The sequence below is a fragment of the Homo sapiens genome, chromosome 7, assembly GCF_000001405.40.
Source record: "Homo sapiens chromosome 7, GRCh38.p14 Primary Assembly".
Lineage (NCBI taxonomy): Eukaryota > Metazoa > Chordata > Mammalia > Primates > Hominidae > Homo > Homo sapiens.
In genome coordinates this window covers 145806955-145824577 of record NC_000007.14, presented here as the reverse complement: position 1 = coordinate 145824577, position 17623 = coordinate 145806955, and the positions used below count along the sequence as shown (strand labels likewise).

The 17623-nt window shown below is 35.1% G+C and overlaps 1 long non-coding RNA gene across 1 annotated transcript in view; it reads left to right on the top strand.

Moving 5' to 3' along the window:
* The first annotated feature begins 14271 nt into the window (after positions 1 to 14271).
* LOC124901765 (uncharacterized) overlaps positions 14272 to 17623 on the top strand; it is a 28654-nt gene continuing 25302 nt past the window's right edge. Inside the window, exon 1 of the long non-coding RNA XR_007060575.1 lies at positions 14272 to 14347. This is a non-coding gene — a long non-coding RNA (uncharacterized LOC124901765). The remainder of the gene's footprint in view (positions 14348 to 17623) is intronic.

The window sequence follows — 17623 nt, the reverse complement described above, 5'->3', positions numbered from 1 at the left end:
CTTGATAGTATTGATGTTTGGTGTTGGACGAGACAAAAAATAGCTACTATCTTACATTTGCTAATTATATTAGAGATGAATTTTTAATTAACGTAGTAATTGTCTAAATTTTAATTAAATTGAAAGGTTATTTAAATCATATACTATTTTTAGATGTGTTAATTTAACAGTATTCACTACCTTATGCTATAAGATATTTGATTAAGAAATATTGTTTAATGTAATATGAACAAAATGTGCTTGATCAAGTGTGTTTATTTGGTAAATACCAAATCACATTTGTCCAGAAGATGAACCAATTGCATATCATTTTCATTCAGATGGTTGAAAAGAAATATTACTGAAAATTCATGACATATTTAATACCTCTTACATTCAAAATTAGGAATAATAAAATTATTAAAATTATTTTAGTATCTATGCTAGTAAATATTTTGTATCCATTATGAATTTCAGTTTTACAAACCATCTATTCTCTTTTATAAGAATTTTTAGACATGTATCATAAGCATTTCCCATTCATGTCCATTATTAGAAGTTCAAGAATGACAGACTAATAACTAATCAGGCAAATAAGATCTTTTTAGTGTGATTAGTGCAATGTTCTAAAATTATATTGTGGTAATTGAGTGTAGAATTATAAACAGAAATATACAAAACAAGCTTTAAATTGAATAAATAAAATGGATGAATTGTATGGTATGTGTAGATTGTAGCCCATATAGTTGTTTTTAAAAAGTAAACCAGGGCATGTGGTGCCTCACATGTGTAATCCCAGCACTTTGGGAAGCCAAGGCAGGCGGATCACCTGAGGGCAGGAGTTCGAGTCCAGCCAGGCCAACATGGTGAAACCCCGTCTCTACTAAAAATACAAAAAATTAGCCAGGTGTGGTGGCTACTCGGGCGGCCAAGGCAGGAGAATCGCTTGAACCCAAGAGGTGGAGGTTGCTGTGAGTTGAGATCGTGCCATCGCGCTCCAGCCTGGAGGACAAGGGCAAGACTTTGTCTCAAAAACAACAAGAACAACAAAAAAAAAAAAAAAGAGAAAAGAAAAGAAAAAAAGAAAAAACAGTAAACCAATCAGGCATCATCTGATTGGAAATAATTATTGCTGTGGACTAAAATTTGCATCCACCCAAAATGTATATGCTGAAATCCTAACCCCCAAAGTGATGGTATTAGGAAGTGGGGACTTTGAGTGGTAATCAAGTCATAAGAGTGAAGCCTTCATGGGTAGGTTAGAGCCATTATAAAAAGACACCAGACAGATTGCTTCTTCTCTGTCTGCTCCCCAACATATGAGGACACAGCAAGAAGACATTTATTTGCAAACCAGGAAGATTACCCTCACTAGACACCAGATCTGGTGGTGTCTTGATCTTCTAACTGGATACTCCAGAACTATGAGAAATAAATGTTTCTATGTCTACAGACTATAGTATTGTTATAGCAGCCAGACCTGACAAAAACAAATGTGTTCCTAAGATGCTTTTAAGGAACAAATCTGGGGGTGATGTCAGCAAGATGGCCAACTAGAAGCTCTTAGCACTTTTTCCCCTGGCAAAACAAAACAAGACTACACACGCATATATACATAAAATGAATAAACAACTACATTTTTGCCAAAACAACTGGAGGAGAGCTCTGGTGAATAGCAAAGAAGCAACAGAAATTTGTAGAGCATAGAAACCCAGTATGGCTCCATAGGGAAGGGACAGAAACAGCTTGCTTTTGCCAACCCACTCCCCAGTTGGGCCCCCCAGTTGGGATCAGCTCAGAACCAGGAGACACTCCTTTCTACAGTGAAAAGGTAAACAACAGAACACTGGTAGCCCCCATCACTACTGTGGACTACTACAGTCATCACCAGTGAAAATTCCCACAGTCCTTGCAGGCTCTGAGCCCAATTGAGGGAGCACCTCAGAGTTCATATGCTGAGCTGCCTCCAGAGAAAAGCCTATGCTGTGCCATCTTGCCATTCCTGGGCAATTGCTGCTGCTGCATCTGGCCTCAAGAGTCTTGGCTACTGCCATGTTCCACCATCCCAGGGCCCAGAGTCACCATTAAATGGTAACCTCACTGCCCTCCCCCATCCCCAGGAGCCTGAGCTGCCACTGTGCTCTGCTGACTCTGGGTCCTGAATTGCACCTGTGCCCTCTTCTTGAGGCCCAAGCCTTTAGAGCACCTGTTCTTACCCAGAGCTATGCCAGTGCTGTTCCATGACCCCCACATAAGTATCACAGCTACATTTCAACTCCCTTGTACTGAAGCTGCTGGGGTATGTTCCAGAGCAACACATTCCAGGTTAGGGGAAAAACTGCATCCACTCAGACTTTGAAAAGTGAACTCACCCTCACGTCCCTGATGCCACAGTAATTTCACAAGCCCATAAACCCAGAAACCTGGCTCTACAGCTGCTCCAAACATCTGTGCCCTGGAATCCAGTGCCATTGCAGCTGCCTTGTGGGCTGTGGACCCAAAGGAGATACTTTCAGCTGAAGGAATTCATTGCCACTAGACATTTTCTATAAGAAATTCTTAAGAAGGTTCTTCAAGCAGAATTGAAAAAATGATAATTACTATTGTAAACACATATGAAAGTACAAAACTAATTGGTGCAGGTAAATACATAGTCAAAACAAGAATACTATAATATTGTAATGGTGGTGTATAAATCACACATATTTCTATTATGAAGGTTAAAATTCAAAACGGTCAAAAATTACTAAAACTACAATAAGTTGTTAAGGCATACACAATATAAAATATGTAAATTATGACATCAAAAGCATAAATTATGAGGGGGAGGGTGAAAATCTAAAAATTGTGTGTTCAGCAGAAGTTATCAGTTTAAAATAGTTGATTGTAACTATAAGATATTTAATGTAGGTCTCATGGTAACTACAAAACAAAAAAACTACAGTAGATACACAAATGATAAAGAAGAAGGAATCAAAGCTTAGCACTACAAAAAAAAAATGCCCAATAACAAAGGTAGGCAAGAGAGGACAAAAGAAACAAAGGAGCTACAAAATTCTCATAAAACAAATAACAAAATGGTGGCAGTAAGTCCTATTCATCAATAATAACCTTAGATAGATTAAAAAACTAAATGGATAAAAACGTGATGAATTAAACCTAACCTATTTAACCTAAATACATTAAATTCACCAATCAGAAGACATAGAATGGCTAAATGGATTAAAAAACAAGATTCACCTATAAGCTGCTTACAAGAGGTCTACTTAAGCTTTAAGAGCATACATAGGCTGAAAGTAAAGGTATGGTAGAAGATATCCTATGCAAACAGTAACCAAAAGAGACCAGGGGTCGCTACACTTGTATGTGCTAAAACAGATTTCAAGACAAAAAACTGTCACAAGAGACAAAGGTTAATATTTAATAATGAAGTGGTCAACTAATCAAGAGGAAATAACAATTGTAAACATATCTGCACCCAACATAGGAGCACCTAAATATATAAAGCAAATATTAATGGACATGAAGAGGGAAGTGAATGGCAATACAATAACAGTAGAGGACTTCAATATCCCACTTTCAACAAGAAATAGATTGACTAGGCAAAAAAATTAATGAGGAAAATTTGGACTTGAGTTACACTTTTGACTAAATGGACTGAAAGATATATGCAGAACTTACCATCCAATAGAAGCATAATACACATTTTTCTCTAATGCATATGAAACATTCTCCAAGATAGACCTTGTATATTAGGTCACAAAACAAGTCAGAACTTTGAAGAAGGTTGAAATCATATCTAGTATTATTTTAAACCACAATGGTGTGAAACTAGAAATCAATAATAGAAATTGCGAAAAATGTACAAATATGTGAAATTTAAAGAACATGCTCTTAAATAACAAATGGGTAAAAAAAAATCAAAAGGGATATTAAAAAATATTTTGAGGCAGATGGCAATGGAAACACAATACTTCAAAATCAATTCAACACAGCAAATCAGTTCTAAAATGAAAGTTTAGAGTGACGAATTTGTACCTGAAAAATGAAAAAAAAAATCTCAAATAAATAGTCTAACTTACACCTAAAAAAAGAAGAAAAAGAACAACAAACAGAACCTAAAATTAGCCAAAGGAAGCAAATAATAAAAATAGTAATGGAAATAAATTGTATAGAGAACAGAAAAATCAGAAAGAAGCAATAAAACTGAGTTTGTTTTTTGAAAAAAATTAAAATGACAAACCCTTAGCTAGTCTAAGAAAAAAAGAAAGAGTCCAATAAATAAAATAAAAAATGAAAGTGAGAAAATTATTTATTGATTCATTGCACTGGGAAGAAATAGGCTGAACAGACCAATAAACACAGAGATTGAAAAAAACAACTAAAAACCTCCCAACAAGAAAAGCTCAGAAACAGATGGCTTTACAGCTAATTTCTACCGAACATTTAAGGACAATTGAGGCCAATGCTTCTTAAATTCTTCCAAAAAATAGAGATAGAGGGAACACTTCCAAACATTTTATGAGGCCAGCATCACCTTGATACCTAAGTCAGACACATATCACAAGAAAAGATAACTACAGGCCAATCTCTTTAATGGACATTGACACAAAAATTCTCAAAAAAGTATTATCAAACCAAATCCAAGAACATATCAAGAAGATTATACATCATGATCAAGTGGGATTTATTTTGGCATGCAAGTTTGGTTTAACGTATGCAAATAAATCAATGTTATGCATCACATTAGCAGAATGAAAAGATAAACACTACATGATTATGTCAACTGGCACGGAAAAAGCATTTGAGAAAGTCCAACATTCTTTCTTGAAAAAATCTCTGAGCAGTTTTTGAATAGAAGGAAAGCTTCTTTACAAAACAAGAACATTCCATGCTCATGGGTAGGAAGAATCAATATCGTGAAAATGGCCATACTGCCCAAGGTAATTTATAGATTCAATGCCATCACCATCAAGCTACCAATGACTTTCTTCACAGAATTGGAAAAAACTACTTTAAAGTTCATATGGAACCAAAAAAGAGCCTGTATCACCAAGTCAACCCTAAGCCAAAAGAACAAAGCCGGAGGCATCACGCTACCTGACTTCAAACTATACTACAAGGCTACAGTAACCAAAACAGCACGGTACTTGTATCAAAACAGAGATATAGATCAATGGAACAGAACAGAGCCCTCAGAAATAATGCCGCATATCTACAACCATCTGATCTTTGACAAACCTGACAAAAACAAGCAATGGGGGAAGGATTCCCTATTTAATAAATGGTGCTGGGAAAACTGGCTAGCCATATGTAGAAAGCTGAAACTGGATCCCTTCCTTACACCTTATAAAAAAATTAATTCAGGATGGATTCCAGACTTACATGTTAGGCCTAAAACCATAAAAACCCTAGAAGAAAACCTAGGCAATACCATTCAAGGACATAGGCATGGGCAAGGACTTCATGTCTAAAACACCAAAAGCAATGGCAACAAAAGCCAAAATTGACAAATGAGATCTAATTAAACTAAAGAGCTTCTCCACAGCAAAAGAAACTACCCTCAGAGTGAACAGGCAACCTACAAAATGGGAGAAAATTTTAGCAACCTACTCATCTGACAAAGGGCTAATATCCAGAATCTACAATGAACTCAAACAAATTTACAAGAAAAAGACAAACAACCCCATCAAAAAGTGGGCGAAGGATATGAACAGACACTTCTCAAAAGAAGATATTTATGCAGCCAAATAACACATGAAAAAATGCTCATCATCACTGGCCATCAGAGAAATGCAAATCAAAACCACAATGAGATACCATCTCACACCAGATAGAATGGCGATCATTAAAAAGTCAGGAAACAACACGTGCTGGAGAGGATGTGGACAAACAGGAACAATTTTACAATGTTGGTGGGACTGTAAGCTAGTTCAACCATTGTGGAAGTCAGTGTGGCGATTCCTCAGGGATCTAGAACTAGAAATACCATTTGACCCAGCCATTCCATTACTGGGTATATACCGAAAGGATTATAAATCATCCTGCTATAAAGACACATGCACATGTATGTTTATTGCGGCACTATTCACAACAGCAAAGACTTGGAACCAACCCAAATATCCAACAATGATAGACTGGATTAAGAAAATGTGGCACATATACACCATGGAATACTATGCAGCCATAAAAAATGAAGAGTTCATGTCCTTTGTAGGGACATGGATGAAACTGGAAACCATCATTCTCAGCAAACTATCACAAGGACAAAAAACCAAATACCACCATGTTCTCACTCATAGGTGAGAGTTGAACAATGGGAACACATGGACACAGGAAGGGGAACATCACACTCCGGGGACTGTTCTGGGGTGGGGGGAGGGGGGAGGGATAGCATTAGGAGAGATACCTAATGCTAAATGACGACTTAATAGGTGCAGTACACCAACACGGCACATGTATACATATGTAACAAACCTGCACATTGTGCATATGTACCCTAAAACTTACAGTATAATAATAATAAAATAAAAATTAAAAATTAAAAAAAAACTAGTCAGCCTCTTCTGTGCCAGCAGGGGCCGACTCCACTCGCTAGGGTCCTGCTGCATTGCACCCCTTGCAAGAGGGGGATCACAAGTACAGGACCTGGGGCGAACACTTTTGGTTGCCAGCAGGAGCAAAATTCTGTGCAGCCCCGCAGCAGCCTGTAGGGGGGTGCCTGCAACCACCGAAGCCCCAGAAAAAGTGTTACAGTAAGTGCTCTTTTAGCTTTGCCACCCGTGGATGACTTAAGTGTTAACAGCTCAGTGGAGGGTCAGTGTGACAGCCTTTTGCACCTGCACTGGAGTTCTTGACCAGCACTCGGTAGGAATGAGGTCACACGAACAAATTAGAGATGGTAAATGTAGGGATTTTATTGCCATCGAAAGTGATTCTCAGTGGGAAGGGGAGCTGAAAAGGGGATGGAGTAGGAAAATAACATTTCCCCAGAGTCTAACCATCTACTGCCTGACTCCTCTTGGAAGCAAGTGGTCAAGCTGTTTCTCTGAAGTAAAGCTGCTTCTCTCCAGCCTCCAACCAACCATAGTCTCTAATGTCCCACTTCTTCTCCTCTTCTCCTCTCTCTCCCAGTGGAGCCTGGGGCTTTCATGGTTTTAGAAAAGGCAACATTCGAGCAGGAAAACAGGAATGCATGTTCTCCTTTTGGGCCACGGTTCCAGGCTTGAGGGTGAGGCACTCACTAGGGACTCACCCTCTTCTGCCCAGAATTTCCTTGCCTCCTGTCCCTATCAGTTCCATAGAAGAAATTCAGTTAACCCACTAAGAACTCAGATAAAAAACACTTCCCAATTGGTTTGAAAGAAGGAGTTTGAATGCTTACATTTCTTTCATCTTGCCTTATAATCTCCCTATGTCTTTCTATAGATGAAGTTGTCATACTGATTCAGGAGTAGTGAGTGACCTACGCTGGTACAAAATGTGAATGATTGTTACGGCCCTTATAAACTCATGTTGAAGTATCGCCATTGGGAATGGGATTCAGATATTGCAACATCTAATCTTAAATTACAAAATGAATACAATACAAGCAGTAGTATCTCTTAATATAATTTACACTATATTGACATCTGTTTACGTGACACAACTAGTAAAATGAAGTGTTCAAATGAAAACAAAAAAGCACCCAGTAATGAGCTAATCTAGTATCATTAGCTAGATACTAGATTAAGAATCTAGCTAATTAATCTAGATTAAGAAGAAAGTTCATCACAAATTCCTTCTGTTAGTGAGATGCTTTATGTCAGTCTTTTCTACAGATCATATTCAAGACCCTCTTCAAGGACAAATGGCAACACCAGGTAGAACTGATAATACCTTGTGTTCAAAATTCCATCTCTGAATTTGCATATTAAAATCATAAATAGAAAAACTATACAATATTAATACACTAGAATCACGTGGTATACCATTATTATAACATTTTTAAAATTATTTTACTATTTTTAAAATCTCCTATTTTATTGATTTTAAGTATTTTTCTACATCTATTTTTCTTTCTTCCTTCATCCTTCCTTTCTTTTCTTTTTATCCCAGTACTCTATTACTCGACCTTCTTTATTTTTTTCTTATTTATTTATCCTTCTTGATGGACTAACACAGTAGCCAGTAATGACACGATTATTGTAATTAAAATTGATATTTGTTCAAATTAAGTAAAATTTAAAATACACCTCCTCAGTTGCCCTAACTGCACTTCAAGTGCTCAATAGCCACACATAGGTGAAGCCTATCTGAATGGGTAATAGAAATGTAGGACATTTCCATTAATGTAGAAGTTCTACTGGACAGTACTTGAAGCCTATCTATATAAAATATTCCTGGAATAACTTGAAATACCAGACTTGAGAGACCAGAAAGAGAAGAAAACTAATGTATCATATCAACAGAATACAAGGACCATCATGAAAGAGATACTACTATCCACAGTCAGGATGTTTTCAACATTAATGTATATAAATCCATAATAACATGAAAAAAGTACAAAAATTTACCTCATTTGTAGCAAAAGGAAGTAGTTATCTAACGAACTTCTTATTCTAAAAGCATTTTACTACATTTAGAGAATCAAGTTTTAGCTCCACATTTCAAATTAGACGTATATTTTCAATTTGTCCATATAGTGTTTTGATTCATGAAAGCTCTTCTTTATAGAATAATGCTAGCTGATTAATATAGAAGAAATTATAAAATTAGAAAATTGTTACTAAGACAATAAAAATCGATGGGTGCCAAAATTATTAGATGAAAGTTTATGTGAAACTGAGTACATACATAGTGCCAAAATATTAGATGAAAAAATCACATATGATTTGAAAGGAGGACATGGAAGCTTGCAATAAAAAAACTCCACCTGTTAATACTTTAAGTGATCGTAACATCATTAATAGAGGGGCATTCAGACATTGCATGTCTTCTGCTGCATTTGAATAACAAAATACACAATGCAACTTAGGGAGTATTCTTGTTAAAATATCCAGTCCAAATCTCTTTGATCATTTCAATCTAACTCCCATTTTAAATAAGCAGTGAAAGTATTTACCACATGAATTATATCCCACAAAAAAAAACACATCTAAAAGTTTTGACTTAAAAAAAATTGACCTTTTTTTTTTAAATACTTAATGCATTTAAACAATAACATAAAAATGTTCCCAGGGATTGGCATAGGTTAAGAGACATGTAACTTATCAAAAACCAAGTCAACATTCAGAACTTACATTTACATTAATCTGATATGATTTAGTTTTAAGAAACCAGCATTAAATATTGTCTTTGAGATAACTTTGAATATGGACCTAATACTAGATCAAGTTTTAAAAATATGGTTAATATTTGTTGTTCAAATGACACTTTGGTTCAGGGGATGAAGCATAATAATGTAGTTTGTCTGAAAATGACATTGAACTCTTTCTCTACTTGGCTAGATCAAGAGCAAGCTAGAATCAGTGATCCCCACTTCTTTGCAAACTGAAAATATTATGGGATTGATTGTCGTCTTCTCTCTGTGCCTCTACACTAGATATTTGGAATTTTCAGAAAACTCTAATAGTAATGTACAGTGACATCTAAGTGCAAACTTGTTGGTGCCTCAATAGTTTTACCTTTACTGACAAGGCTGCTGTCAAGGCTTGCCCTTACAAACAGAATGGACTCTTCAAAACGCACATATACGCCAGGTGTTCTTTATAGCACTCTGCCCACTGCAAGATTCTCTGTAACAATGGGAGAATAACAGGAACTGTGGCTCTCTTCTTAACAAAACACTGACTTTTTTTTTTTTAACTTTAAGTTCTGGGATACATGTGCAGAATGTGCAGGTTTGTTACGTAGGTATACATGCGTCATGGTGGTTTGCTGCACCTATCAACACATGATCTGTGTCCATGTGTTCTCATTGTTCAGCCGGGTCTCCCTGGAGACCCATCATCATTGCTTTCAGTAGGAAAATATATTTAGATACCACATTTTGGAATGCAAATTGTGCTTCCTTCCTGGCTACTCTTCTGTTAACATAGGATATTTAAGATGTATTAAGTAGTTTAATTTACGGAATGTTTGAAATGGCTTTAGTTTTCAAGTTGAAGCTCAAATGTTCCCTGCATTATGATTATAAAGGAACTTACCTGTTTTCTTCTAGTGCATTTAGGTATAAAATGTATTTGAAATTTATCTTTGATGTGTGAGGCATAAATTTAGTTTGATCTTTTTGAAAATAAATATCTGACAATCAACATGATTTAGTAAAATGTTCATCTTATCCTATCAATGTAATAAGCTGATTTTTTTAAGACACTTAGATCATATCTTTCATAAATGACACACAACCTATATTTTAAGAATAAATAATTTGAATATTTCAGAAAACATTAATTGCATGCCTACAGACTTTATAATTTAATACAATTTATAACATCTGGGGGATTCTGAAAGTTATATTTCTGATTTTGTGATTGTAAACTAATCTGGTAAAAAGGAAATGTGACATACTCAATGAAAAAGGACTGATCTTATTTGTTACTGGATTATAGAGAAATATGAGATAACAAAATCTTTTAATAGGTATGTGCCTATAACATGACCTATTAAGAATGACAATAACATGAGAGATTCCCTTTTCTTGAAACAAATAATGCAAAAAAAAAAAAGCCAAAAAATTTAGTGAAAAAGTGACAGTACAAGAAAACTACTGTGCATTGCTTGCATATACTCTGATGGAAAACTAACATTATGAAGAGGAAACAGCAAGTTCCAATAAACGGGAAAGTATGAAAAACACATCTAGCCATTTCAAAGTAAGTAAAAGTCCCAGACCAAAGGATGTGTAGTCTTTACAACATTAAATAATTTGTATGTATGCTATCACAGAGGATGTTGCAGAATTGACTTCATACACTATCATTAAGGAAGATAGCATGGGAGAGGTAATTAAGTATCGAAGAAGAGCTTGCCCTGAATCTATATATAAGATAATCTGGCTCTTATTTATATAAGGAGTCAAGACAGGCAAGAATTAATTCAGTTACCTCACTTGCAGAAGCTACATAATTAAGGTGGGTTTGCTATGCATGAGCAAGTCCACATTGATTTTTTAATTTTCATAACATGAAAATGAATCACTTCTTTTTAGAGAAGTAAACCTCTAAAATGGGCTATCTGGGGTGCCAAACCATACATAATGAAACATTAAAATTGAGAAGTACAATAAGGCTAGAAAACTGATTCATTAAAGAGCTTACAACTTTCATCAAACGACAAAATGAGGGAAAAAATTACTGTATATGGGTCAGTAATTTAACAATGATTTAACCAAAAAGGCTACAAAACTCAATAGTATCCAATATTTTATTACCTAAAATAAACAGTATGCTTTATACCATAACTTAATTGAAGGTTTAAAGAGAAAAACATGCAAAAATAAAGGGAAAGTAATCATAAGTTCATAAAACTTAGAAAAGTTGACTTCCAGATTCTATATAAGGCAATTTCTATTTCAAATCTGAATGTGTGTTTATGGAAGAAGAACTTTTTTTCTTTAGAAAAGTAGAGCTAAAATCCATTTATTTCAGACATTGCAAGAGTAGAAATTCTACATCAGTAATTTTAGCTTCAATAAAAGATCTAGGGATTTCATCTGATAAACTCCTAAGCTAACTGTTTTCTCTGTGCCCTTCTGCTTCTCTGTTTTCACAAAGCTAAGTATGAAGACAGGCCAAATATGCCACATTTCTTCTAGTATTTTTCCAGGTCATGACTGACTACTTCCTTGCTCTCAATTTCCAATAAGATCTCAAGCTTGAAGAGAAACAAAATTAACTTCTATAAAAGGATTCTCCCTTCAGTAAATGAAGAAAACAAAACGTGTGTAATATGCTGCATTACAAGTGATGAGATGTGATAAGATGTCAAAGTATTTTTTACCTTTAAAGTGATGGAGCATTGTAAACAAATATAATGGCATTGTATACAAATATAATGTTTTATTATGGATAGAAAGAGTAGGAAGTTTGTTGTTGTTGTTGCTCTTTCAGGTTTTGTTGTTGTCATTGCTGTTTTTTGGTGAGACAAGATCTTGCTCTGTCATCCAATCTGGAGTGCAGTGGTATGATCTCTTCTCACTGCATCTTCCACCTCTCTGGCTCAAGCAATCCTCCTATCTCAGCCTTGTGAACAGCTGGAACCACTGGTGTGCAACACCATGCCTGTTTTGCCTATTTTTAAAATTAGGTTACTATATTTTTTCCTATAGAGATGTTTGAGCTCCTTATGTATTCTGGTTATTAATTCCTTGTCAGAAGGGGAGTTTGTAAATATTTTCTCCCATTCTGTAGGTTGTCTCTTCACTTTGTTGATTGTTCTCTTGCTGTGCAGCTTTTTAACTTGATGTGATCTCATTTGTCCATTTTCGCTTTGGTTGTCTGTGTTCGTGGGGTATTACTCAAGGAATTTTTGCCAAGTCCAATGTCCTGGAGAGTTTCCCCAATATTTTCTTTTAGTAGTTTCATAGTGGGAGGTCTTAGATTTAAGTCTTTAATCCATTTGCATTTGTTTTTTGCATATGGAAAGAGATAGGGTCAAGTTTCTTTCTTCTGCATATGGATATCCAGTTTTTTCCAGCATCATTCATTGAAGAGACTGTCTTGGCAACCTTTGTGAAAAATTAATTCACTGTAGATGTATGGATTTATCTCTGGATTTTTTATTCTGTTCCACTGACTTGAGGGTCTGTTTTTATGCCAGTACCAGGATGTTTTGATTACTATAGCTCTGTAGTATAATTTAATGTCAGGTAACATGATTCCACCAGTTTTGTTCTTTCTGCTTAGGATAGCTTTGGCTACTCTGGGTCTTTTGTAGTTCTAGATAAATTTTAGGATTGTTTTTCTATCTCTATGAAGAATGTCTTTGGTATTTTGATAGAGGTTACATGAAATCTATAGATTGCTTTGGGTAGTATGGACATTTTAACAATATTGCTTCTTCTAACACATGAACTTTATGTGTCTTTTTCAATGTCTTGTATCAATGTGTTATAGTTTTCATTGTAGACATTTTTAATTTCTTTGGCCAAGTTTATTCCTGGGTATTTTATTTTATTTATGGCTATTGAAAATGGGATTAATTCCTTGATTTCTTTTTCAGATTGTTCTCTGCTGACATATAGAAGAGCTTCACCACATGGCTACCATCATAATCAGCTCACAAGGAGTACTCCCAGGCTACCCACTGATGTTCACTTAAGGCTCTAACCTCTTAAGTAAGCTTGTGGTGAGTGCTGCATGGCCTAGGACTCACCCTTCGGGGAAGTGGGATCCCCTCTGGCCCAGGGCAGGTCTAGAAATGCCATCTGAGAGCCAAAGCCTGGAATAAGGCACTCCAAGAGCCCACTTGGTGTTCTAACACATGGTGGCTGAGCTGGTACCTAAGCATGCAAGACAAACTCCCCTTTACTGTTTCCTCTGCTTATCTCAAGCAGAAGGAGTCTCTCCCCATAGCTGCCACAGTTGGCACTGTGTTGCATTTCACCTGAAGCCAGCTAGTCTCAGGGTCTCACCCAAGGCCAACAGTGTACGACCTGGGTATTGCTGCTGGTTATTTGGGGTCCAAGGGCTCATCACTCAGCAGGTGTTGGCTCCTGCCAAGGATGGATCCTTCCCTTCAAGATAGCAAGTTCCATCCTGGCCCAGTGTGTGTCAAGAAATGTCATCTGGGAACTAGGACCTGGAAAGGGGGCCTTATGTGTCTGACTAGTGCCCTGTCCTACTGTGACTGACCTAGTATCAAAGATGCAACACAAAGACCTCTTTACTCTTTCATCTCCCCTTCTCTCCTTCAGGGTAGAGAAGGGGTCTCTTTTAGAGTCCCAAGCCATGCTGCCTGGGTTTGGGTGAGGGGTGGCGCAAGCACTTACTTAGCTGCCTGGGCTGGTGTCTCAGTAAGTCTTGTGCCTTCCTCAAGTCCACTGGCTCTGAGCCCAGGTCAGAACTAGGACTCACCTAGGAGTGTCAGTATTTGTGGCCTAGACTGCATTTCAAGTTTATTTAAGGCCCCAGAATACATTAGCCCTGATGGTCGCAAGGCTTGCCAGAATTTGCATCAGCTGAGTTTAGCCTGGTTTTGCTTTCTGCTGTGACAGAGCAGCACTGAGTTCAATGCCATGTCTCAGAATTTCTGTGTTCTCCCTCTCCTGGGTGCACAGATTCTCCATGCTGTGAGGCTGATGCCAGGGAATGGGCAAGGGGTGGCAATAGCCATTTCTACCATCTGTAATGCCTCTTTCAGCATTATGAATTCAAAACCAGGTCAGGTGAGTGTTCACCTAACTTTTGGCTCTTATGAAGGTGCCAGTTTTGTGTAAATAGCTGTTAAATTGGTGTCCTTGGAAAGGGGATGATCTGTAGAGCCTTCTATTTGGTCATCTTGCTCTGCCTCTCTTTTTCAACATATTTTCTTGTTATTCATTGCACAATTTTGATTAAAATATTATATTCTTTCTTAACCTCAGAAAAGACTTAGACTATGCCTTTTACTGCTCTTGTGCCACTTGTTTATTCTCTGCAGTCTTTAAGAATATCAATATTATTATGCAGGATCTCTTTCTTTTGCCCTCCTCTCTTTCCTCTGTCATTCATGTTGTTTCACACAACACACATATTCACACACATTTCTGAAAACATTTTTTCTTTTTTTTCTGATAAAATCTCTCAAGTTCTGCTGTTAGACATTGGTTTAATCTTTTCCAATAATATTATCAGCATTCATTTTGTTTTTTAATGAAAGTTTAAATTTTGCTGTTTCATTTGAATTCTTCCTAAAATATTGTTCTTGTCTTGTCCAAAAACTTTTTATAACATCCATTTCCTTTTTAATTGCATCCACATTTCTTTTGAAAGTATCTTGAATTTCTCATTATAAAGAATCTATATTTTAATAATTAATAAACTTATTGAAATAACTAAGTACATACTTTCTAAATTTCAGTTTAATGGTATATTTCAAAACTGCATATTTTCTCCGAATCTTTAATTCTATAGTCTCCTTGTATAGTGCAGAAGTCTGTAATTATTTCAACAGTGGGAGCTAGATTCCTCTTGAGCACTAATTGACTGACTGGATCTTTTACATTTCTTTTATCAGTGTTATAAATAATTTATCACTATTTTAATATTAGTGGAATATTTAGCTGCCATTATCTATTGATACTATAAAGTAGCAGGTTATATTTTAGAGGAATTTTAAAGCAATTTTAGTAATTATTTTGCCAAAACAGTGCATGGGTGCCAAACATCCCAAAGATCAACTGTTTTTTGTTATTGTTGTTTTGAGTTTTAGTTCTATGATGGCGAGATTCCTACTACTTACACATTACTATTCATGACAAGGGATTGAAGGAGACGTTTAAATTAACATTACGGAAAATAGAAATGGTGCAGGTTAATTTCAAAAATATTTTCCATGTCAGTTGTCATTCTGTTCTGCAATAAACATATACATGTAAAGTCTATGCATGTAGGGCAGAATGAGAAGGCATTTTCAGTTGCCCTTTTTCTGCCTCTAGTGCTTAGCTTCAGATTTCCTTCCATGTATTCATGTATAAAAGTTGTGTTTGCTATCTGTCAGATCACTGGAGTATTTGTCATTTACAGTGACTTGGTATTTTGTGTCTGTCATGCATTTTAATGTGACTATTAATGTGGGATGTGGGGGAAGAAGTGTGACTTACTTATTATTGTTTACAAGGCCAAGTTTATCAAGAACCACTATATATATATGTATATATAATTTATATAGATATATAACATAATTTATATATGTGAAATATAATGCTCAAATAAAAAAGCACACATAGCAAAATTGTACAGCTCTAATTTTAAAAAAACACATTCCTATAGCCATTACACTAATGACAATGTAAAACAATGTCAATGTCAAAATTCTAGAAGCCTTTTTTTTTTTTAGCATTCCTCACTCTGCACTCCCTCATCTCATCAGGTGACCACTTTCTTAACTTTTTGATAATCACATCCTTGTTTTTTTTAGAGTTTTGTTGCTTTATGCATTTTTCTAAGTTTATGTTTTCCTGCACTTAAAAGTCTATATAAATAGAACCATTCATTACATATTATTTTTATGTCCAATTTATTTTTATTACAATTACATACTTAAAAATGTGTCTATGTTATATATAGTTGTAGTTTATTCTCATTGTACAGTATTCCATTTTGTGATTATAACAAAATTTATTTTCCTATTTTTGTACTGAATGAACTTTTAGGTTGTTCCTAGATTTCGGCTATTATGTATACTCAGGCCATGAATATTTTTGCTTGTCTTTAATACAGATGTACGTATTTTTAGGGGGCATATATCTAAAAGTAAGATGAATGAGTTAAAATATATTTATCTTCAAATTTATTAAAAAATTTCCAAAGTTGTAGAAATTCTTATTTCTGGTATAGTATATGAGAATCCTGACTCTTCTAAGCTTTTATAATAAGTTAGATGAACATTTATTTATATTTTTGGCCATTTAAGTGTCATCTTTTTAAATGTATGCTCAAGTGTATTTCAATTTTATTGAATTATTAATGATATTATTGAAATAATGTCTACCATCTTTCTCATATTTTATTCTTTCTGTTTCTGTTCCTTTTATACTATCTGTTTTATATTATTTTTAACCAAATTATCACCAACATTGACTCATTATTTATATCTCTTAAAAATTAATGATTACCTTGGGGTTCATGATATTGATTTTAATTATTCATGTCTACATTAAAATAAAATTGAACTACTTAACATGCTGAATGTAGGAGTCTTTGTTTACAGGGTTCTTTTTCCCTGTTAGGATTTTAATGATGTCACTTTATTTTTTTATATACATAGTTTCCAAATAGAACTAACAGTTACGTTGAGCAAGATCACTGACTACAAATTTAGTTTACAGAAAACAATTTTGTTTCCATAGAGTAGCAATGACCAGTTGGAAATTAAAAGTTTTAAATGTCCACACATGCAATTATGTATAAATCTAACAAATCTACCAAAATATGTTTCCTACTATCAAGACTGATTCCTGGAAACAATAAAATACTGATCACGGAAATGAAACCAAAAAAGGGAATATGCCAGTTTCATAGATCTGAAGACTCTACTTGTAAGACATCAATTTTTCTAAAATAAGTCTACAGAATAAACACAATCTGAATCAAAATGCCAGCATCTAACATTTTGTTTGATTGCTTCTGTAAAAATCAATGAATGAATACTAAAATGTATATAGAAAGCAATGAAACAAGAATAGCAAAAACAGTTTTGTAAAAAAGGTACAGTTAGAAAATGCACATTTTATTATTTTAAGATTTACTATAGTAAATCGGTCTTGTTAGCAATGGATCTTGTTAGCAGTAAACATATTTTAGTAGATTTGTTATATTTCTATACAATTGCATGTGTGGACATTTAAAACTTGTAATTTCCAAATGGTCATTGCTACTATATAGAAACACTATTGTTTTCTGTAAATTAACTTTGTAGCCAGTGATCTTGCTCAACATAACTGTTAGTTCTACTTGGAAAC